Here is a 25,454-nt window from a genome sequence, read left to right on the forward strand (position 1 = left end):
GACATAAAAAATAAAAACCCAATATGGAATTTCAGGCATCAATGAAACAAATAGCCAAGGTACCCTGTAAATTCATGTCTAATATTTCTAATTGTTTGCCTATTGTGGCTATCTTGGTTAGGAATTAATTCATTACAAAGAACAGAAAACTACACATGTGATATCAAGAAAAAAAATCAAGGCAAGGGATTTTTTAGGAGGAATCTATGATATCTCATACAAACCAAGGGCAGGACACATTTCTCTACTCATATCTGTTTAATTTTTTCTTTATGGAATCTGTTCTCAGTTTTTCTTGGCAAATGGGCCAAAGATGATCATCCCTGTCCAGGAGTATTTTAAGAGACTCTGGGAGAGTCATTTTTGGGAGTTTGTACCTCTCTCCTTCCATCTGCCACCTTGTAACAAAGCTTTCTGCCTTAGGTCACCAACTATCTGCTATAGTAGTTGAAGCCCATCTGCCTTAAATGTAAGACAGGCAATCTCAACTGAGACTAAATATTACATCCATTTTTGGCATACACTATCATCTTCCTGGGAAATAAGCCACAAGACTTTATTTCTCTTAAGCTAGTGTCCTCTTTTTACACACTTGGCGTGGGGAGTGGTGTTAATTTTTTGTTTTACTCATACTATGTGGGTGTGTTCTCTGTAAAGATACGTTTATCTGTATTTGTATCTACATCTGTGTCTACACCTGTATCTGTATCTATATCTAGATCTATGTCTATCTATCTGTAGATCTGATGCAGGATTTTTTGCTTGTTAGTTGAGCTAAATCCGGGTTCTTGTCTCAAACCAGGAAAAATTAGGCATGTGGACACATTGACAGGTGAGGAGGATGGAATTTATTAAGCGAAAGGAAAGCTGTCAGCAAAGAGAGGGGTCCTGGACACAGGTTTCCATCTCACAAATTGAATACCAGGCCACCACACACAAGCTGGAGGCCAGGCTCTTCCCCTGCATAAGGAGCGAATTTTTGGTGGCTCTACCCTGTCTTTCCAATGTGCCTGCAGGCCCTTAGTCTGAGCCACTGTACACTGCATGTGTTAAGGGATGAAATTTTTCACCATGGGCATGTTTAGGCAAAACCCTGGTGCACAATGACCTGGGCAGGTCAGAGGTTCTCCAGGGACACCCCTTATCTGCCTAGGCATTTGTCTGTCTCTTGCCACTATCCTATCTGCATATTTTAGTTCCAACTCTGGGGCTAGAAAATTAGTCTGTAATCAAAGAACATACTTGCTTTCTGTTGCTTCTCAATGCCCAGGGAGACTGACTAGCCTTTGGGTCTGAATGACAATTCACCAGTGCGGCTCATGGGCCCATGTTGGTTCAGGGGTCATTCTCCATTCTAATTAACCAGGGACAATTAGCAGGGGCAGTGGGACTTAGACTCCTTAGGCATGGAAAGTGAGGAGAGAAGACTGGAAAAGAAATTTACAGGAGCATTCTCCAACAACAATAATCCTGCCACCTAGGACATCAGGATTGCATTTTCAGTATACATTACCTGGGGCATTTGTTTAAAATGCAGCTTTCAGTGCTCCATCTTTTGACGTGTTTGTTGATGTTGAAAAAATTAATATGACACATTTTTACCTGTTGGTAAGGTTCATACTCTTAACCTGGGGTAAATAAAAAGATATCTGAAATTAATCTTTTCAGTATAAAGAGGCATTTTTAGCAACATTTTCTGAGTGTTTTTGTGGAACTAACAAAATGAGAGTGGAAATTCCTTTTTTTTTTTTTTTTTTCCAAGACAGAGTCTCGCTCTGTCACCAGGCTGGAATGCAGTGGTGCAATCTCGGCTTACTGCAACCTCTGCCTCCTGGGTTCAAGTGATTCTCCTGCTTCAGCCTCCCGAACAGCTGGGACTACAGGTGCAAGCCACCACGCCCAGCTAATTTTTGTATTTTTAGAAGAGACGGAGTTTCACCATGTTGGCCAGGATGCTCTTGATCTCTTGACCTCATGATGTGCCCAACTCAGCCTCCCAAAGTGCTGGGATTGGAAATTCTTTAAAAAAATGATACATGAGGTTACACATTTGATTAAAGTGAATCATATAAGAAGTAACCCAAAGCTTAGTTACAGGGTTATTAGGATTTTATTATTCCTGGTAAATATTATTTAAAATTGAAACCATCTTTCATAAGATATTTTCTTGAAACTTCGAGTTTCCCTTATTGTAACCTAAGAGCAAGAGTGAATTATATCTAGCTGTGGACAATAACCCAAGTAAGTCTTTCTGGTGGGTACTTTTCAGTGTCATCCTGGTATGACAGCTTGAAAATATTACTTGAAAAACATTACCTGCTTGTTATGAAAGATCCAAAAAAAAAAAAAAGAATTACTAGCTCTATTTATTTTTGGTTAAGAAATATAGTTATAAAATTAATTATGACCATCACCTACATAAAGAACTAAAGGGATTCAGTAAAGTCAGTGCTAAAGTTACACATTCATTTGGCAAGATTAAACAATGAAAGATAATCTCACTTTCCAAAATATCAATAAGTTGCCTAAGATCACGCAGCTAAAAGGTGGTAGAGCCAGAATATAAACCCAGGCCATCTGCTTCCAAAGTCCATTAACTCTTCAGCCCACTAGGCTTTTTCATGCATTTTTTTTCTCTAGATCCTCTAAGATCTCTTTCTTAGGAACTATGAAGATCCATTTACAACATTACTAATTATTGAACAAACTTGGATAAATCTAGAGTCAAATCATTTATCCCCTGAAACATGACACTTGGCTATACTTAGTGGGCCTTTGCCAAGTTGTTTCTCCAAGCCTCAGTCTCATCAACTGAAAAAGATGATAATAATGGGCTCTATCTCATTAAAATTCTTATAAGGAAATGCATGATATATGTGAAGTGCCTTGCACAGAGGCTGGCAGGTGAGAACCACTCAATAAATCTTAGCTACTACTTATGTACTTACAGAAGATAGACATAACTCAGTTAGCAATAAGGTGTTTAATGTGTGCTCTATCACCTTGTGTGTTTTCATTTCTAGATGAATAACAGAGATTTATTTAAAAACACCTAGTGATGTCATAGAAACTTTGGATGTAGTTATGATTAACACTATTATTTCCCCTAATAATTTTTCTTATAGCTGTTCCTTTTCCAAGGATAACTAGGTAAACTAACAAGGAGACAGATGATGATCATGAAGATAGATAAGTAGATAGATAGATAGATAGATAGAGATAGATAATAGACACAGATGAAATAACAAACACATAAATATATAAAAATGAATGCATACAGTACAATTTATAGTCATGCAACTTTTAGTGGAGTGTCTTATGTTTTTCTAGTTGTTTGCACACATATTTTTTTGAATGACAACTTGAATCCTTTTCTAGTTAAAGGAGTATGCATTTCCCTTCTTAAAAAGGAGTGTACATTGTTTCTCTTCTTAAAAAATACATTTAGAGGCCAGGCGCGGTGGCTCGCGCCTGTAATCCCAGCATTTTGAGGGGCCGAGGCAGGCGGATCACGAGGTCAGGAGATCGAGACCATCCTGGCTAACACAGTGAAACCCCGTCTCTACTAAAAATACAAAAAATTAGCCGGGCGTGGTGGCGGGCGCCTGTAGTCCCAGCTACTCGGGAGGCTGAGGCAGGAGAATGGCGTGAACCCAGGAGGCAGAGTTTGCAGTGAGCTGAGATCGCGCCACTGCACTCCAGCCTGGGTGACAGAGCTAGACTCCATCTCAAAAAAAAAAAAAAAAGAAAGGAAAAAAAATTAAATTAGTATATTTATATATGCAGTCCTGCAACCTTCACCAGACCTACTTTAAATTTATTCTCTGACTGGAGCCTGGACCCTTCTTACAGCTGAAGAACCTGGAGAAATTTCTGCTTTCTAGAAGGAAGCACTGCTTGGGATACAGAATGTTTAAATGCTGTTACACCTCTCTCAATTTTTAGTTACTGGCTATTTAACACTTACTTCTCCCTGCTTCTGTGTGCTGTCTTCCTCTCCCCACATGTCTTCTTTGAAGGATTCCTGAGCTGCAACTCCTCCCCCATCCTCTTCTCCAACATTCTGAGGTGGTTTCCCTATTATTTCCACTGCCAGCCAGCAGATTTTCCACTTGCAGAAAGGAGATGAGAAAAACTGAACCGTGGTCTAGCCAGCTTGCCTTCCCTGACTAGTTCTTTGTCTGATAGAAGGGAAACTTCTGTCTGCTACAGCATATTATTGCGGAATTGTGCTGTAAACATCCTCCTCCAAGCTACACCATACAGAAACGCATCTAATGTTGACTCCAGTCTATGTCCCTTGGTACCTGGGCTGCTTCTTGGCATCACAGGTTGAGTTGACAGTGGCTTCCCTTAGTGGGGCTGAAATACATGGCAAAGAGTTGTCATGAGGACCATGTGTTTGGAGAGGGTTGTGTCTGCCTAGGAGTCATAAATGTGACATGTAAGGTCTAAAGTTTCCTAAGAAGTGTTAATATTTAAGAGTAAATCCAGGAATTTGTAAATCAGCGGTTTTGCTTTGAACAGAGCTCCAGCCAGTTGTGACATTGTTGAGTAAATTGGCAGCCTGTTTGCTGTTGTTTCCTCTTTTTGAAATTTAACCTCTTGGAAAAACAGCAGCCTGGGCTGTTATATGTCTCAACACAGACCACCAAAATAGACCACTTAAAATTGTTTTTTGATCTGGAGTACCAGTTCCCCTCTAGCAACTTTCTTTTTCTTCTTTTAAATCATTTTGACAGGACATCTTTGCTGGGTGCAATTTCTGTGTCCTTTGAAAAGCTGGGGGCAGAGCATTTACGATGGAACATCCACTCTTGGGCGTTTCCTTGAACTCACATTGCAAAGAAAGAAAGTTCTTCACATTTTCATGCCACGAATGGATACCTTCTTAAAGCCAGTTCCATGATGTTTAATTCCATACTTTTCAAATGTCAGACTTTTTAATGTTGTTTTCTGAGCACTTGAGGACTTAGAATTAGCTGTGTTTGAATGATTAACAGTGATAGAGGTAATGATTATAGTAATTCAAGCCATTGTTATAAATAATATATGTTTAATATATCACAGCTTTATCACTTTTACATTACAAACAAAAGCTTACCATTTGTTTCAAAAAGAAAAAAAATTATCATTTTTACATTACAAAAAAAGCTTACCATTTGCTTCAAAAGAAAAGTTCATAGGGAAGAAGTAGGCTTTGCAAAGAAATCAGTTCTAGGATATTCACACCCTGAACAATATGATGACTCCTGATATTTCTCTTGGATTAGAATTGATTTGAATCTTCCTTTACCACAAGCAACACACTATGCAACTAGCCAGAACCTACATTTTTGGCTTCCTTTTTTGTCTCAAATATCAGTTGGTAGAATTCAATAGAAAAGAGATGTTTGAGACACTGAACCATGTTGGTAAAGTACTGTTTTGTTTGGAAATATTACAAACTGCTGCTTCAAAGTGCTTAATGAATGGGTATGTGTGTGTTTCTGCATATTTTTAAGGAAACTAGAAGACAGGAAATACAAACCTACACATGAAAGAACCATGCCAAATTAAGTGCTCTGTCCTTTTTTATAAAGAAATTCTCTGTCAGGAGTTTGCCAAAACCCTATTGCAAATGAACATCACAACTTCTCCTAAACAAACTGAGAAATTCTGTGAATGGATGCCCAGTGTTTGCATGTGAATTGCCAAGAAATCACTGCCCACGGGATAGAAGTAGGAGAAAAAAAATACATTGAAATGTCTGTATATGAGTGTACCAACATCCTGCAGTTCAGACCATCAAAGTCATGATGATCCCTCATTTATAAAGCCTTTAAAGAGTAGGCAAACAGTGGCTCAGATAGAGGAGGAATTTCATAATATCTAGTTTCTCGTGGAAAAAGAAATGGTGTCTCTTTTCCAAAAACCTGGAAAAATATATTTTAACTTATTTTTCTATCTAGAGTTAATTCAGTTTCATTTGGGGGCTCAGAAGCTAGAAAATTCCAACTATTAGAATAATAATCTTACAGATTTTTATTTTTAAGGCTTAATGAGAAAAAAATTGGTAAAATATTTTTAAGCAGAATTTCATTGACCATGCTTGTGATAGGCAGTATGCTAACTGCCTTTAATATTAGCCAATAAACTTAATATTTTGGATCCTTATGAGCTAGGTAACTTAGTTCCCGTTTTATAGCAATTTAATAAATTTTTAAGGAGTTCAGGAAATTTGTCTCAAATTATTTAACTAGCCAATGGCAGGTCTGGATTTTGAACAAAATTCTGTCTTACTCGAAATCCTGTGTTGCTCTTCATGATTATATTGTAATGATTCCCTTATGTGAATAATAAGGAAAAGCATAATCTTGCTTGACTCCAAAACGGAAATTAAAAATTCTACTTATGACATAATTTTATCCATGGAACCAAATTAGCATGTATTTGAAAAAAAATATTTTATACCTTCTTCTATAATCTCTCGTGCTATTGTGGTGGCATAAATGCTTCTACTATCTTTACCCTTAATCTGACCAGAGGCCTACAAACATCAGGCATAGATGTGCTGCAACCTGCTTTCCCTTGCTCATGTCAGGCATCACTAGTAGAAAACAGCACGTCTTATAGAGAATAGCCTCAGCCTCATACTTCTCATCACAGTGCTCCAGACCAGCATTACCAATAATCTGAGTCTGCACAATCCTCAAAAACATATTTGCCATTAAAGATCCATCTCATTCTGCACACTGTTATCAGAAGAATTCCCTCAAAATATTGCTTTCATAATTTCATTGTTCTGATCAAAATTAGTCAATGGCTCAATACTGCCTACTACTTATAATCGGGTCCCTTAGCTCTTCCAGATCTTTCCAAAAGCTTCTTCTGGGCCTTTTCTTCTCTTTTCTTTACTCCTATGCATGGATTTTTACCTCTCCCACTCTGAAGTTTGCATTGTCTTGCCATTTGTGTGTTTATTCTTAACTAAGAATGTTGCTTTGGGCCGCGCGTGGTGGCTCACGCCTGTAATCCCAGCACTTTGGGAGGCCAAGGCAGGTGGATCACCTGAGGTCAGGAATTCAAGACCAGTCTGGCCAACATGGTGAAACCCCATCTCTACTAAAAATACAAAAATTTTCTGGGTGTGGTGGCACGCGCCCGTAATCCCAGCTACTCAGGAGCCCAAGGCAGGAGAAACGCTTGAACCTGTGAGGCAGAGGTTGCAATGAGCTGAGATCATGACACTGCACTCCAGCTTGGGCAACAAGAGTGAGATTCCACCTCAAAAAAAAAAATTGTTTTTGCTTTGTTCTTCTATAGTGAGAAAATCACACCAATAATTTTACAGTCAAATTCCCAACTATTCAACAAAACTGATTTTATCTTTTCCCAAATCCTCAATATAGTAGAAGTTCTCTAATTTGATGAAAGCAAGACCAGTAGTTGATTTGCCAATCAGCTACAACAGCAAAAAAAAAAAAAAACAAAAAAAAAAGAAAAAAAATGATCAGAGAAGGAATCTTAACAATGATACATATGCTTTATAAATACTCCAATTTAAAATGTTTAAAACTGTACATTATTTCCTTAAGCTTTTGATTCAGGGGCATGTTTTCCTGTGATTAAGAGTCTGCTAATAGGAATCCTACAGCATCTTGCATACAATTCACCCATAATGCATCCTCCATGATTCCCAGTCTTGGTTTATTTAAAATAGAGCAAGAACCTTCCAAGTATTGTGAGTCTGAAGTCTTCCTATAAATTTTTCTGATTTCTGCCCCTAATTTTTAAAAAGTTTTCTTGGCCGGGTGTGGTGACTCACGCCTGTAATCCCAGCACTTTGGGAGGCCGAGGCGGGCGGATCACGAGGTCAGGAGATCGAGACCATCCTGGCTAACACAGTGGAAACCCCATCTCTACTAAAAATACAAAAAAAATTAGCCAGGCGTGGTGGCGGGCGCCTGCAGTCCCAGCTACTCCGGAGGCTGAGGCAGGAGAATGGCATGAACCCAGGAGGCGGAGCTTGCAGTGAGCCGAGATCGCGCCACTGCACTCCAGCGTGGGCGACAGTGAGACTCCGTCTCAAAAAAAAAAAAAAAAAAAAGTTTTCTTGCAATATTTAATTCATTAGTAATTGTTTTTAGCCATTCGTATTTAAAAGTCCTCATAATGCAATCAATTTAGTTTTCATACCAAAAAAACCCATACCTCACTTTCTGTACGATATTTCATTGATTTATGTTACATGATTTTAATAACAAGTGCCACTCACAGTTTGGAATAAACACACTTGGGCTTCACACTGTTCAAGTGGCTCTAGCAGAGGGGTGCACGCTAGCTCTGAGCAGACAGTATGCTATGACAAAGGTCAGCGTATTTGATGGGGTGAATGAAGAGCTGAATTTCTTCCAGAGTATTGGTTAAGTGGATGGTGAAGAGAGATTCTTCTCATTTATATTTACAGTCGAGACCGTTACTCGACTTTGATTATATACTGCTTTTTGGGCGATAATTATCTTTCTCATGTAAACTGCTATCGTTGACTCCAGAGACACTGTTTACAATTCCTTTAGGGTCTTCCTCATAGGAAAGCAGGGTCTTCCTCATAGCAAAGCAGGGTCTTCCTCATAGCAAAGCACAGCGATATTTTACAGAATATATATGTAGTTATATATATAGTATTCATTAAATTTTTTTGGTCCTTACACTCAAATAGCAAGGTAGAAGTGAAGAGGCTTTTTAGAGCTACCTAGAAGAGAAATACTCCAAAGATTTATAACTTGAAACAATATACCATAATTTGGACTGAGACAATCATACCACAGAAACTTTTAGGAAACTAAGGTTATGGTTCCTGCATTCAAATGTTGGATACATTACGGATATGATATGGTGTCCAAAGCACAAAATGAATTAGTGGCAACTGGTGTAATTGTTTAAGTAAATACATAAATAACATTTTTGCTCTGCTAAAATGTGAATTAAAATAACATTCTAGGAGTTAAAAAATTGAAATAATATTAAATCATAATTGAATTGAAATAATATTCTAGAAGTTTAAAAATTCTTTAAAACCTTTTTTTAATTGTCTACTTACTGACAAGTCACTCTATCATTTTCAACTTAACAAGAGAGAAGTGGAAAGGCTGGGAGATTTGTCCAAGGTCACAGATCAAGTGATCTAAACATAGACAACCAACCACAGGGTACCCAAAATGTTCTTACTCAAAAGACTTAATAGCTTTTACCAAAAATAACTACTTCAGTCAAAGAGAAAAGGATAATTGCTACTTCCACAGACAACATAAGAAACCAGCATCATTTCAGCCCAGAAAGCAACATTAAATGACCACCCACACACCCCATCACATATTTATCTCCTCCAGCTGCAAGACCCTCTTCTCTTTGGCTTCTCATTGACCTAGAAAGAAGAACTAATGAATAAATAAAGTCTAAAACAGATGCAAAGGCAGTGTCTGCATAAAAAGTACACTGCTGTGGGTAAGCAAAAATGCAATCTCTGGGTCAGCTCTTTCTTGCTTACTACTGCTTTAGTCAAGAAGTCCAGCCAGCTCTTTGCAGAGACTGTGGTGATGCCACATCTGCCAATGCAAATACCTGGCTGTGCAGAACAGGAAACCTTAGCCAGGCCTCAAAAAGTCCTCAGCTTAGGCAACAGACAACCTTTGGCTAGCACTAATTTAACTCCTTTTTTTGGTCTGGACAACAAGTGGTTCCTGAGGCAGTCATGATTGAGCAGATGTGTAGTCGTGTCAGATGCCCACACTTAAAAGAGTGTTCTGGCATGAGTGCTTGAGATTCATTCATTGTAGATGCATTTCTTTAAAACAGAGGTCAAGGGTCAGGCACGGTGGCTCACACCTGTAATCCCAGCACTTTGGGAGGCCGAGGCAGGTGGATCACGAGATCAGGAGATGGAGACCATCCTGGCTAACACTGTGAAACTCTATCTCCACTAAAAATACAAAAAATTAGCCAGGTGTGGTGGCACATGCCTGTAGTCCCAGCTACTTGGGAGGCTGAGGCAGGAGAATCGCTTGAACTTGGGAGGCGGAGGTTGCAGTGAGCAAAGATTGCACCACTGCACTCCAGCCTGGGTGACAGAGCGAGATTCCATCTCAAAAAACAAAAAAACAAACCAAAACAAAAAAACCAGAGGTCAGAAACTGGTGGTTCACAGTCCTATTTAGCTTTTAGATGGACTTTGTGTGCCTGTATGGCTGTCTACTTATTCATTTTTTTAAAAAATTTAATTGCCTTTAGATGGGCAGTTGTCAGTTTCTGTGGTGTAAATACTCTAGAGTTTGGGAGAGGTGCAGTATTTCTACCATACAGATGTCATAGAAAGAAACTCAAATGCATATATAGTGGTCAAATAGAGTAACATAATTAGTGATGTGTTTTAAGTGTTACTTTTTTAAAATAAATTTAATTTCATTGTAAGGTGGTATAATTTAAATTTTTATAATGGTCACGTTTAATAATCAGCTCTCAAAATTCCTGCAAATGTAACACTTGGCCCTTGTGAGTCAGGATAAGCCTGCTGCTTCACATGCTTGGATAACATATGACAATAGCAGCCATAGCATATAGTGGTTCAGGCTCTGGAGGGTGAATTTAAATCCCAGCAGTTTCATTTACTAGCTGTGTGAGCTTGTACAAACTACTTAACTACACAGAACCTTGAGTTTCTCAGATGGAAAAATAAGTTAATGTTTATTTTGAGAGTTTATAGTGAGGAATAAATAAAATAGTATATGTGAACGGCTTAGCACTAGATTTGGCACATAATAATCACTCAGTGAAAAATGAACATGTATTTATTTTAACTCTAGGCAGAAATTACTTCATCAGATTCGTTTTGCTGCTACCTCAAAGACCTAACTGCAGCACCTCAAAGAAATGAGAAATTTCATGAGTAGAGGAAGGAAAGGAACCAGGGAGATCAGAAAAGACCAGGATGAAAGGTAAGATGAAGGCACTGAGAAAGAATGAGAATAAAATAGCATCAAAGATACAGAATTAGAATAAGAGAGAGTAAAAAACGCTGTTGCTTCTCCTTGTGCAAACCATGTCTATCCTATCCATTAGAGGTTCATTCTCAATTTCTCACAAAGGTTGTATAATCAATCTCTGCATGAATTACCAAAATCATTTCTTGAAAGTACAGCACCAAATACCAAACACTCCCATCCCATCTCTTTGGCTTGAATAATTAATGTTAGACATGGAACCCACACTCAACCAGTTAGATGCTCTTGTCTTAAAATCTGGAATTCATACCCAGAGACTGAAGTGAGCCAGTGTTGAGTGCTTCCAGTTGGGCAGCTCTGACTGGCCATAAGCAAATGAGGAAAGAAAGCCAATCTTCAGAGTTGGAGAGAAACAAAGTAACAACACACAGAAATGAACATCCCTTATCCCCATACAGAAGAAAAGGAAAACAGAAGACAAATGATGACTTTTCTTTCCTGTGAAGCCTGGCTGTATCCTTTAACTTTGTTTCTATGAGATAAGCCATTTTCCTTACCATAAACTTCCTTTACCTAACTAAGCAAGCTTGAGTGGATCTCTTTTCCTGATAGCCAAATGATTCTTGACCAGATCATCCCTGCTAGTTCCAAAGTTCTGTGAAAATATACAAAAATCACAGTATTTGTAAAATACCGAAAGCTTGAAGGCATGTGATTTTAGCTCCCTTGATTTACATATGATCAATGGAGTCCACAGAAATAAATGACTTGCACAGAGTCCATATTTAACTAGTAATTGAGCTATTCCAAACCTCAGCTTGGCTCAGCTGGGCCCCAGGCAGCGCCATACTCCTCTGCAGTAAAACGAAAATGGCATGGTTCTAATTTTGGAGTGGCAGCATGTTCAAAATGCCCTGACACTGTTCTCAAAGGCCAAATCCCATTTTCTTTTTGTCTGCTGTTTCACTTTATGAATAACGCCAGACCAGAACAGAAGCAGGGAGCTGGTCTACTGAAAGACAAGGTTAAAACAAGGGCTTTGAGGTCAGATCAACCTGTGTTCAAATCCTCACTCTTTCCCTGACAGGCTGTTTGACTATGGGCAAGAGCCATGACTGCTCCAAGCCCCAGTTCATCTTTGAAAAATGGAGATCAATAAAGTTATCTAATTAATTTTTGTTGGAGGATTAAATAATATAATGCATAGAGGTCCCTCAATGTAGTGAACATTCACTGAATGTTAAATTGTTCTTGATCTTAGTATTGTCAGTGATAATTGGTCAGGCAGGGGTCAAGAATCAATTCCAGTGGGTATTTTCGCCTTGAGGCTGCAAAGACTTCTTTCCTCAATGTAAGTTTATATCATCAGTACCAACATCTACATGTTTTTTTTTGTTGTTGTTTGTTTGTTTTTTTTTTTGTTGTTGTTGAGATGGAATCTCACTCTGTTGCCCAGGCTGAAGTGCAGTGGCGCTATCTAGGCTCACTGCAAGCTCCGCCTCCCGGGTTCACGCCATTCTCCTGCCTTAGCCTCCTGAGTAGCTGGGACTACAGGTGCCCACCACCACACCTAATTTTTTTTTTTTTTTTTGTATTTTTAGTAGAGATGGGGTTTCACTGCATTAGCCAGGATGGTCTCGATCTCCTGACCTCGTAATCTGCCTGCCTAGGCCTCCCAAAGTGCTGGGATTACAGGCGTGAGCCCCTGCGCCTGGCCTACACATGTATCTTTCTACCTGTTACCAACTGGCCCTTCAAATATACTTACCACACCGTTTCTTAAGGATGTGAATGACTTCAGTCGAGAATATCATTGGGATTTAATGTGCTTTGAAAATGGAAACTTTTACACTCAGTGATTAAAAATTTGGCACTTAATGTAATAAATCGTGAATGTTAACAGTCAGCATTAAAACACACAATACCTATTCTGGAGCTTCTATAAGGCACAGCTAACAATAATCACCAGCCTAGCAGTTCAAATCAGGAAATACTGTGTAAGCACAGCTACACTTCATTAATGCAGAAGAACTAAACTGTTTTCAGCTAGAAGGAATGTATAATGCAACATAATTAAGTGGAGATTGATCCACCTACAAACTTTAATTGACATTATTACAGCCTTGAAATTCCGCGAAGCAGTGTTTATTAGCAAGATCAAGGTAATCGAGGGCAGTGATTCTCAAGCTCTTATGGCATAAGGATCAACACGAGGACCTTATAAAAAGTATCTTTTCCCAAATCTCCCCTCAAGAAATTCAAATTCAGTGATTCTGTAGTGCTGACCAATTACTTATATTTTTATCAAACTCTGCAGGTAATTATAATCCAAATAATCTTGGTAGAACTCACTTTGAGAAACACTGATCTAGAACCTCAGATTGAGTAACATTTCGCATAGGAAGGAAGAAAAGGCTTTGCGAAAGAGAGCTCTTCTCAGCAGCCTGGGATGGAATGCAGATCTAAGCCTTGAAGAAAGAAAAAAACCTAAACAACTCAAATTAGGCAGGTATTTTCAATTAGTTGTATCTTGACTCTCACTGAACCTTAGAGGGTAGGTTCTGTGGAAACACCAGGTGTTAGTGTTAGTTCAGTCTGTCCCAAGGGAATACAATGTCTCATGTGAAACAGCAGAAGGATAAAGGAATCCCAGTTTCAATAAATCATGCAGTGGACAAGAGAGCTATTTTTTCAATAATCTGTAGATATAAATAATCAAACATACATTTCTGCAATAATGATTACCAAGTACTTATTTTAATAACATCTCAGAAATGAAAGGATTCCAAATTCCAGTGGTAATACATTTCATGTGATACACTGTTGTTGAGTCTACCCAAGTCAAGGGAAGCAGCAGTAAAGCTTTCTACAATAGTGGTTGGACTGGTGCTGGGGCATTAGAATTGTAATCTCATCCCTAAAACAACTAACTCTGCAATTTGAGGGAAGTCGTTTCACCACTCTGAATCTCAGAGTGTACTTGATATCTTGAAAGTTCCCTTCTGTTCCAGTGTTCTGCAATAAAGTGCCTACTATGAGCTATGCACTGGAGCTAAGCACTCCACTTAGAAATGAACCTATTTAATCCTCACAATCACCCGATGAAGTATGTGCCCATACGTTAAACAATCTCCCTTTATAGACGAGCATAGTGAAGCAAAACAAGGTTAAGTAGCCTGTCCAAGGTCATTGTGATGGTTTATCTTATATGCCAACTTGACTGGGGTACAATACCCAGATATTTGGTTAAACTTTCTGGATGTTTCCATGAGGGTGTTTTTGGATGAGATTTATATTTAAATCGGTGGACTTCTAGTAAAACAGATTGCTCCCATAATGTGGGTGAGCCTCGGCCAGTCAATTGGAAGGAAGCCTCAATAGCATAAAAGACTGCCATCCCCAGAGTAAGAGGGAATTCTGCCCGCAAACTGCTTATGAACTCCAACTGCAGTTCTCTCCTGAGTTACCAGCCTGCATCCTCCTCCATCAGATTTTGGACTCATCAAGCCTCCACAATCATGTGAGCCAATATCTTAACATAAATCTCTTTTCACACACTCTCTCTCTCTGTAAATCCAGTTGGTTCTGTTTCTCTGGAGAACCCTGACAAAAACAGTCACACAGTAGTATGGCGGTGGAGCCAGGTTTGGTCCCAGGCAGGCTAACTCTGCAGGTGGAAGATGAGGACTATTCCATGCTTCCAGAGGTTAGCCAAGCATCCCTTTTAAGAATTCAGATGCTCCAGTGAATATAGACTACTAAATAGTATTTGTTCTTAATGGTTTTTCTCTGGCTGTCTGCACTGATGACGTCATTCAATTGGGCATAATAAACTAATGCAAGCAGTGATTTGGAAGAATTTAACATCATCCAAGTTTGATTACAGTAAATTATGTGTTCGGGGCACATCTCTATCTTTCAGAGTTAAATGTAGGAAGTAACTACTTTCTTACAAAAAGTCCCTTGTTGAAAGAGGAAAAAAACTTTCTAGATATAAGGTAGTCTGACTTAGTGCGGCAGTTTTTCTCTTCTTAAATGTTTACCTTTCTCTCCACTTAGTAGACGCTGTTTTGAAAGTCTTCCAATTCCTGTTTGTAGTGGGTAGATTTTAAAATACCATCACTTTAAAATCTTATCTATTTTATTTCTATTTAATTAAATGATAGTAGGCTCTTTTGCTTCCTTTGTAATGTGTACATATATGTCAATACTCACTTTCCTTCTCAAGATCCCAATTTAATCCTTGACCCTTAGATAAAGGTGACCCTAGAAGCATGGCCATAAACTACCTCAAGAATGGACATCTTCAACCAAGTCAATTAGCAGCAACTGTCCAAATATCTGGTAAGAAGGAAAAAAAGCTAAAGATATCCTGCATTGTTTTTTGTTGTTGTTGTTGTTGTTTTGTTTTTTGTTTTGTTTTGTTGTTTTTTGTCTGTTTGGTTTTTTTTACTAGAAGTTAGTTTTGGAATCCTACAGAGACGTCAACAAAGATTTAAGAGTCAAGAGAGGCTGGGCATGGGGGCTCACTTTGTAATCCTAGCTCTTTGGGAGGTCCAGGCGGGCAAATCACGAGGTCAAGAGATTGAGACCATCCTGGCCAAAATGGTGAAACCCTGTCTCTACTAAAAATACAAAAATTAGCTGGGCGTGGTGGCGCATGCCTGTAGTCCCAGCTACTTGGGAGACTGAGGCAGGAGAATCGCTTGAACCTGGGGCAGGCGGAGGTTGCAGTGAGCCAAGATGACGCCACTGCACTCCAGCCTGGCAACAGAGCGAGACTCCGTCTCAAAAAAAAAAAAAAAAGAGTCAAGAGAAGCCCCTGCCTTCAAGTGTACTCAGTGTTAAGGACTGCAGGGCCTCCCTGGTGGAGGTCAGCCATGTCCATTATAGATGTGTCTAGTTTGAGCACCTAAAGGTTGATAACTCAGGAAAGGCAGAGTGTCTGTAAATCCAAGGAAACACTTAGGAAGGTTCAAGATCAGTGAACTCTTTCTGGTTTTTATAAATAGGTTCATATGCTGTCTGTAGCCTCCTTGACCCAAACTACCAACTCTGAAACATGAAAGAGTAGAGGAAGAAGAAGAGGAAGACTGGGTTGTTCTGTTTTAGACACAGGCTGAGTCATTGCAGCCAGATTCAATCAGTGCAAAAGAGAAGGATTTGGAACAATTTGGTTAGTTTCCTTCCACCCAAATGTCTAGACACCCGAAGGGGTGTGCAGCCCGACCTCTCGCTATTCCTGTTAAAGGCTTCTCTTCATGGAAAATGTCATTGGTTATATGGTTTGTTTGTATTATCTTTGAACTTAATGTATACTATTCTACCTTTGTCAACATTCATTCCCATTTTCTGTAAGCTTTAAACTATCCCAGATGCTGAGTAAATGTGCATTTGCTGGAATGTGGCTGGCCTCTGTAATCTGGTTGCACAATCACTACTCTCCCTCTCCAAATTCTGTATAAAGTCAATTTTAAGTATGCATTGTCTGGGGCATTTATATCCTGTAGCTTAAGACAGATGCCAAAAGTGTAAAAAGGTAACCTTGATCTATTATTATTGGCGTCTATGCAGCTTAAAAGGAAAATGGACTCTCAAGTCTGAATGCTTATCTGCTGTTCTCAATCACTTAATGCTCCAAAGCGTATGCTGTGAATGTCAATTCTTTAGTTGGCTGTCAAGGTACTTCCCACTAGGCATTTAGCTTCCAGTATGTTCTGTTCAGAAAATACCCAGAGCTTCAAGGATGTCAATTTGGGTATCAAATATATGAATCCAGAGCAAAGTCATCTGATACATAGTTTTCTTCAGCACCGTACTGTGATCACCTTCCCTGTGTCCAAACTCTGCAGAGATACAGCGTCTTGTTTCATAATATTGTGCTTGAAAAAATGACACCCTAAATTGACTATGCAATACTGACAAGACATGGGGATGATAAAAATGCATGGCCCATGTACCTTTTTGCTGAGATTTAGATATTCTTCCCCATCCTCAATCCTCTGCCATATTTTTAAATTTTTTTGCTTTTTTATATTAAGCTGTAAATATGAAAGGATGAGGAAAGGCACAGCAAGGAAGAGCAAAGAGAACAAAGCTAATATAGAGAAGCATTAGCCTGGTCTCAGTAGAGAGACACAGTTTTGTGTATTGTTTATGAGTTACCCAGATAGGCTATGTTAACAGACCAAAGAAAGAAGATTTAAAGAAATAAATCTGATAACTTTAGAAAACATAGGGTGAGCCTGGGGAAAATATATTTGCTTTTGTCCAAAACAAGATCAATGCCACCTTTTTAAAAGGAAGCTTTAGAAAAAAGAAAAATCTCTACATGATATATAAGCTTTCTGGAGCTTCCCAGTATCAATGGCTCTGTCTTTATGCTGGCATTTTAATTGACTTTCCCTCGTTTTTTTTTCCTTTGTTGACCAATCTTTTTAATGAGCAATTTTGTGTAGTCAATTAGATCTAATTCTATTGATAAAGAAAACTGAAAATAAATGAAGTCCTAAAAGTCCAGCTTAAGCTATTAAATCATTGATTAACCAAATAAAAACTACACATATTTTTGGTTTAACCACTTGTTTAAGTTATATGTCAGCCTTTCTTCTATAGAAGTTGAGAAACTTGATTAATGAAAGCTGTTCTCTGTGGAAAAAAGAAGTTAGTTGTTCCATATGTCATAGAAAGGCTTGATCGGAACTGAGCAGACTGTAATTCTTTCCTTTCTGGAGGGAAATAGGAAATTCTTTCTGCAGCTTTTAGACTCTGATCTCAAAGCTAAATTAATTATTTTTATCTTTAGGATTTTTCTTTATTTGAGACCCACCATAGCAGGTTGCACTCATGACTAGTGGAGGAGGCAGCTGCAACCCTTGTGTAAATTTCAGGATTTTGCACTTACCCGACTCCTCTAATACGCCACACACCTAAAACACCATTGTTAACAATGTGGGTCTTTAAATCTTCTGAGGCTTCAAAAGCTGTAATCAGTTCAAAACTGTAGCTTGATCAAAGGCCTGCGTGTAAGGAAAAGAATGCTAAAAAAAGAAAATCTTTTGGAAAAATCATAATTTTGCCTCAGGCTAGATCTGAAGTACTAACCCACTGAGTTATACTTCTGAAGTTTAGGAGAGTGCTGTGTTTTCATCTTGGATATAGAAAGGTGGTGAATTGCCTTCAATTTCTCCTTCCTGGCTTGAAAACAAAGCAATTGTGAAAGTCTAATCCAACTGCATTCTAGCCAGTGCCCAGTGAGAAGATGCCCACGGGGCTGTTCAGCATCGTAGATTCATTCACTGCCCGTAACTGGCTTGTTGAACAAGGAGGTGTGAGTTTGGCAGTGGGTGGTTAAAGTTAGTATATTTGGCACAGCAGAGAGTTGTCCATCATTGAAAAGAGAGACGATGAATGTTGCTTCTAGGAATCTTCTCCCTCAATACACAATGCAAGGAGGGCTGGTAATGGTGAATGAGGAATATGGCCAGGGATATGGAAGGCCGGACTACTCAGGATTTGAGGAATGGGCTGTATCAGCTCATTCCTAATATATGCTGGGGATAAAAAGATGAGGGGACACACCTGGCTTAATTACTTACAGTCTTGTCAGCTTTACATGCAAGTAGATGACTTTGCAAATAAATAAAATATATACAATAATATTTGAACTAGGCCCAGAATTTAGAAGTAATACTGAGTTAGGAGTAATGACTTCATTGTTCTGAAAACAAGTTCGAGTTTCCTATGCATTAAGGTAAGATGAAATGTTTATTCAGAATGTACAACTGACAAGAGATCTTCACATTAGTGTACTCTGTCCCTCTGTCCCTTTTATCTAGACTCTAATGCCCTCATTTTCAAGTAGTAAGATAGTGTATGTGTGTGTGTGTGCGTGCATGTGTGTGTGCGTGTGTGTGTGTGTTTTAAGTGAAAAGGGTGGTGGAACAAAAGTTGTTTGTACCTCTGCTTCCCATCTCCTAAGGGAAATAAATTGTCCTTAGCTTTCTTTGCTATTACTTCCATTTGTTAGCAAAATTTGACTTTTACAGGCTTATGCTGATAACTAAGCCAGAATAAATGAAGTGAGAGCCATACAGATTCATGACTGAGATGTGTAAGGGATTTGCACAAAAGGATACAGTTTATGGTTTAATTCCTCAAGGAAAGTATCATATGCAAGTGAGTCATTTTTGCATGACCTCAGCTGAGAAGAAGCTGGATTGAAAGAAATTCCAAAGACATGGAAGAATGGCAGTTAGTTTATAAGAGGTATTTGGAAAATCATATAGTTATTCATTCTGACACACACCAAACACCGGATTTCACAATGCAGGAGCAAATAAAAATAAAGAAAGAACAAAACACCAAAAAAGGAGTAGAATCTTACCTTAATAGGTAATGAATTATTAAGTGTATGCTACAAAGGAAAAAAAGGGAAATAGAACAATGTTGTTGAAAAAACTTTATGTGATGATGAAAATGTTTACACCAACATTATTCAATACAGTAGTCACTAGCCATATGTGGCTATTGAGTGCTTAAAATGTTTCTGATGTGAATAAATAACTGAATTTTACGTTTTTCTCTAATTTTAGTGAATTTAAACTTAGTTACATTTGGCTAGTACTTCTATCTTAGCCTGTCTCAAAAATAGCACTAAAGATGAGGAATACCAAATTCTTCTCTAAAATCTTTCACAATTTCATTGGCTGATCTCCACCAAATATCTCCTTTGTATTTTATTTTCCTGTCTTTAAAATGGTGCTTACAATTCATAGTCTCTAAGTAAAAACATTAGTGACATAATATGATTTAAATACAAGGTTATTCAATATAAATGTCCTATTGATAGATTTCTAATCTAAGAGGTAAGATATTTGGAAGTTAATTTCAACTTGTATTGAATTACTAAGGGTAGCATAATTACAGAAATGATTATGAAAAGTTCTGTCTGCTCAAAAAGCTTAAACAAACATAGAAAGATAGATGGTGGGCCAGGCGCGGTGGCTTATGCCTGTAATCCCAGCACTTTGGGAAGCCGAGGCGGGTGGATCACCTGAGGTCAGGAGTTGGAGAACAGCCTGACCAACATGGAGAAACTCTGTCTCTACTAAAAATACAAAATTAGCTGGGCATGGTGGCATGTGCCTATAATCCCAGCTACTTGGAAGGCTGAGGCAGGAGAATCACTTGAACCCAGGAGGCGAAGGTTGCAGTGAGCCGAGATCATGGCACTGCACTCCAACCTGGGCGACAAGAGTGGAAAAAAAAAAAAAAAGAAAAGAAAAGAAAGAAAGAAACTCCGTCTCAAAATAAAAAAAAAAAGAAAGATAGATGTTGATATTATTTCAATTAAGTAATGGGAAAATAGATGAGGGGGCAATAAACTCTGACTTGGAGAATGTATTAGTCTATCTTCACACTGCTGATAAAGACATACCCAAGACTGGGTAATTTATAGAGAAAAAGAGGTGTAATGGACTCACAGTTCCACGTGGCTGGGGAGGCCTCATAATCACGGTGGAAGGCGAAAGGCATGTCTTACATGGTGGTAGATAAGGAGAATGAAAGCCAAGTGAAAAAGGAAACCCCTTATTAAACCATCAGATCTTGTGAGACTTTTTCACTGCCATGAGAACAGTATGAGGAAAACCACCCCATGATTCACTTATATTCCACTGGGTCCCTCCCACAACACGTGGGAATTATGGGAGCTACAATTCATGATGAGATTTGTATGAGGACACAGAGCCAAACCGTATCAGAGAGAACTGGGATATTGAAAGACAAAGTTGAATTTGGGCTGAGTGTGACACAGCAGGAAGAAAAGCCTTTCTAAGCAAAATAGTGTGGCATGAGCACAGGCATAGAGGGAAAGTCAGAGCCTTCAGTACGTGATGAATTAGTCTGGTCTGGCTCTAGGGCAGCACATTGCTAGTTAGGACTGGTGGGAAACGTAGGTTGAACTGATTTTCTAGGGGGCCTAAAATGCTCACTATGGATTTGTATTGATATTCTGGAGGCAATGAAGTGAAACTAGAAGGTTTTGGATAAATGAGAAACAAGATAAGATCTGTGATTTTGAAGAATAACTCTAGTGTCAGTGTCAATGAACTTGCAGAGAAAGATGTGCAAGGATGAAGATTAATTGGGAGAATATAGAAAGCGGTCAAGCAAAAGGTGGTAAGATTAACTAGGATCCTAATGAAGCATCAATAAAAAGCGACCTTATAAGGATTGAGTAAAGTCCACAAAATCTGGTGACCCAACTCACGTGGGTGTTCAGGGAAGACAGCAAGACAAAGGTAACTAGGTTTTAAGTTTAGGTGGCTAAGTGATAACATTCATCAAACCAGGGAGCAAGGAGAAGTCTGGGCTTGTTGATTTTGAAGCATTAGCTTGGCATCCTTTTAGAGATTAACAAATAAATACAGACATGAATGGGAGTCTTCTAATAGACATTAGGCCTGCATCAGAATCAACATGTCCAAACCTGAGCAAACATCTATTGGATGTCCAACTGGGTGTTGGAAATGCAAATCTTGGTCTCAACAGAGAGGTCAGAAATAGCTATCTGATTCATGTGAGTAGAAATGATACTGAAAGTTGTAAAGGTGTGACTTTAGTTAAGAAGAGAACATTGTGTAGCTCACAAAAAAGAATAAGGGCAGGTCCTTGGGGGCAGGAGTCAGCAAGGGAGATGGAGAAGTAAAAATAGAATTCGAAGAACTCAGGAAGAAAGTAATCAAGTCAAGAAAATAATAGATTGTATATACTGGAATCTAAGCACCAATTAAAATGCAAACACAAAACATGCTGTTAATTACTTTCTGTAAATCACTTTCTACCTGAGCAGGCCCCAGAGTGGGACAAAGATAGGGAAACTTCATGTAAACAGTGGTTGTTTGACAGAAAGACCAATGTCTGGGGGTGGGTAGGGTTTAAGAAGCAATAGACGCAGCAAAAGAGGTGTTCCCTGCAATGTGAGATCTCATACAATTGAGGGGAAGATGGGAGTGGGGAGATGCTTTTGGTGCTCACATCACATCCCTGGACCCACTTAATTAGGCAGTTGAGACTCTGAGTGAGCCAATGTTAGTTATCAGCAATGACAAATAATCAAAATAATCAATGATCCGCTGTTTCTTTCTGTCTGGACCCTGAGCAAGTTGCATCAACTCTCTGAATCTCGGTTTCCTCCCATCAAAAAGAGGTTTAATTACAGGATTCATAGCGGTGAGGATTAAATAAGATGATGCATCTGACACAACTGGGGGTTAATTAATGTTAGTTCCCTTCCGCTTTTGCTCCTCTTCATGGTTTTGTACCAGGCACGTCCAACCAATGAGTATTCCTAATGTGTCAGTGGAATGCAGTGTTTCCATGTTAGAAGAAATCTCAGGCCCCTGACAAAGGACAATTTTATCTCACCCGAAGCTGGTTCCATAAATACTTTGTTGCATAAACGAATGAATAATCACTGAATCAGTCAATCAATCCTGTTCATTTAGCTCCCCCATCCAGGACCTACACTCTTGAACCACCTCGGACTGCTTGGAAATCAGAAATTTTGGGGTCAGTTTCTCTCCATTCACTTTGAAGCTAATTCTAGCTTTGGGGGTATACAATTTAAAAAGAGTGAAAGATAGACAAAAAGGTAATTACCTACATCAGACAATTTAGAAATTAACCCATTTTTATCCCATATGGCAGCAGAGGTATTAATGACTATTTTCCAGGGTAACAGGAATAGGATGGGTTAGGGGTCAGGACTGAGAATTTTTTCAAGATTATGCCTGAATGGTCACACCATAGGGTCTATATAATCCACTGAAAAAAAAAAATCATGTATCCGAGTAATTTAAGTCAATCTGTGTACGGTGGTTAGGGAGAAGAGTTATGGGTTAGGTTGATCTATCAGTCTGATCTATATTTTATCACTGAAGGGGAAATATAAATATAGTTTTAAGAGGTATGTTCAAAGCTTATATCAGAACAATGCTTTTCTATAATGAGTGAGAGAGTTCAAAATATATGCTTTACCTCAGAAAATTGGCACATACGGGAGCTAAATGAGGAGGATTGATTGAATGATTCACTGAGTAATTCACCCTTTTAAGCAACAAAGTATTTATTGAACCATACCATGTTCCACATTATTTACCAGGAGCTAGAAAAAACTGTGGATTAGATAAACAGGATCCCTGTTTTCACAGCATGCAGTCTAGTAGGTAAGATGAGCACTGCATAAGTAACTGTAAGTAAGATCAGTTTGTTTTTTGTTTTTTTGTTTTTTTTTGTTTTGTTTTTAAGACAGAGTCTCACTCTGCTGCCAGGCTGGAGTGCAGTGGCATGATCTCGGCTCACTGCAACCTCTGCCTCCCAGGTTCAAGTGATTCTCCTGCCTCAGCCTCCCAAGTAGCTGGGACTACAGTCACGTGCCACCGCACCTGGCTAATTTTTGTATTTTTAGTAGAGACAGGGTTTCACCATGTTGGCCAGGATGGTCTCGATCTTTTGACCTCGTGATCTGCCTGCCTCGGCCTCCCAAAGTGCTGGGATTACAGGCGTGAATCACCGAGCCACCGTAAGATCAGTTTTATAAAGGCATTATAGACACACACAAGAAGAGACCCTTCACCTAGTAAGTGGGAATATAGTAACAACAATAATAATGATTAGAGATAACAGTTGTACAGTGTTTACTATGGACCAGGCACTGTTTAAAACACTTTACATATATCATTTTTAAAATGATTTTATAAATCTACTTGTCAACACTATGCAGTAAGTACTGTTGTTACCTCATTTTAACAGATGAAGAAACTGAGTCCCAGAAAGGTTCAGTAACTCGCCCAAGTTCTCATGGTCAGTATGTGGCAAAGGCAAGATTTTAATCCAGATGTGAGGCCCAAAAGTGCACGCACTTAGTAACTGGAATTTAGAAAAACAGACATAGCTAAGCAATTTAATAAATTGATCTGTTTCATCTTGTGTATTTTAGGCCAGGAAGAGACACAGAGAAATCCATTTTTAACAACCTGATTTATGAAAGCTGTTATTGACCAGCTACTTTGGCAACTATAGTTGTAATACTTTTGACTTGTGTTTTTATTGACTGCATCTAGTTTTAGTGTCTGTCTCCAACAGAAGCCTGATCAGGCCCTAACTAGTGTGTACCTTCATAATTCACATGGCCTGTGTTTGTGCTCATAGGAACAAGAACAGCAAGAACAGTAGCTGTTGCTCAGAACACAAAAGAGAAGATAAGCCCAAAAGATAGACTGTGTGAACTGAACAGGCTTCTTCACAGCCTTTCCCACACTTGCTGGTATCACAGAGGTGATGCAACCTGAGGCTCAAGCATGATATCAATGCCCAACTGATGCTGCATGAAGTAACACTCACTCTTCTGTGGATACTGGAACAGATGCTTTTGGTGCTCACATTACATCCCTGGACCCCCTTCTGAATCCTGTGCAGTTGTGTGGACAGTTCCATGTAGGCTTTTTGCTCTTCTGCCTCAGGGCTTTCATCAAAGTCAGGGCAGCCTAGTCAGCTCAGAAAGCGAGTGTGGGGGAGCTTTGCAGTGAAAGCTAAGCTACCAGGGGCAACTCTCAACCCATGACGGGTGGAGCTACAACATTATTTTAGTCTGCACAGTTAAGTCACAAAAGGTGAAGCATAAAGACAGAAAGGCAAATATTAGGACAAAACACATAATCATCCAAAATTTGGATGGTGCCAGGGAAAGGAATGAGAAATGGAACAATATGTATTTTGTCATTGCTTATAGTAAGGAATTAACAGTCTTTCAAAAGAAATACAGGATTAAGGACATTGTATAATGTCAATCATACAGAACAAATATGAAAACCTTTTAAGTCATAAGAATTAAGATAGCCACAAAGCAAAGAAAATACAGATCTTATAGAAAACCATACAAAGTAAGAATAAAAACTGAGATGAAGGTGGTGTAAAATATTACATACTTCTAAGATCAAACATTATTTTCACATTAATAAATGTATTAATGGACAAATTTGCCTATTCAAAATCCCAAAAAAAGATTTTTTTTTTTGGAAATTGTAAAGCTAAATTTAATTGTAGGCTTTATACAACAGATACTTAAAACAAAAAAACAAAATAAGAAAAGTTGTAAATTAAATTATGGGAAAATGCATGTGAGAAAAATGCAAGCAAACAATTAGGAAAGCAGGGGTTACAACCTTAGTATTAGAAAAAGTAAATAGGAACTGCGCACGGTGGCTCACGCCTATAATCCCAGCACTTTGGGAGGCCGAGGCGGGTGGATCACGAGGTCAGGAGTTTGAGACCATCCTGGCTAACACAATGAAACCCCGTCTCTATTAAAATACAAAAATTAGCCAGGCATGGTGGCAGGCACCTGTAGTCCCAGCTACTCGGGTGGCTGAGGCAGGAGAATGGTGTGAACCCGGGAGGCAAGCTTACAGT

The 25,454-nt window shown here is 38.8% G+C and overlaps 1 long non-coding RNA gene across 1 annotated transcript; it reads right to left on the reverse strand.

The window, feature by feature from the left end:
* Positions 1-833: 833 nt before the first annotated feature.
* On the reverse strand, positions 834-20,523 carry LINC01920 (long intergenic non-protein coding RNA 1920). The gene is made up of 6 exons (NR_110241.1): positions 20,465-20,523; positions 19,366-19,395; positions 19,118-19,193; positions 17,884-18,436; positions 3,968-4,982; positions 834-1,628 (listed from the first exon to the last, which is right to left on the reverse strand). It is a non-coding gene; the product is annotated as a long intergenic non-protein coding RNA 1920 (long non-coding RNA).
* Positions 20,524-25,454: the final 4,931 nt, after the last annotated feature.

This window comes from Homo sapiens, chromosome 2, assembly GCF_000001405.40.
Source record: "Homo sapiens chromosome 2, GRCh38.p14 Primary Assembly".
In the NCBI taxonomy this organism is placed as follows: Eukaryota; Metazoa; Chordata; class Mammalia; order Primates; family Hominidae; genus Homo; species Homo sapiens.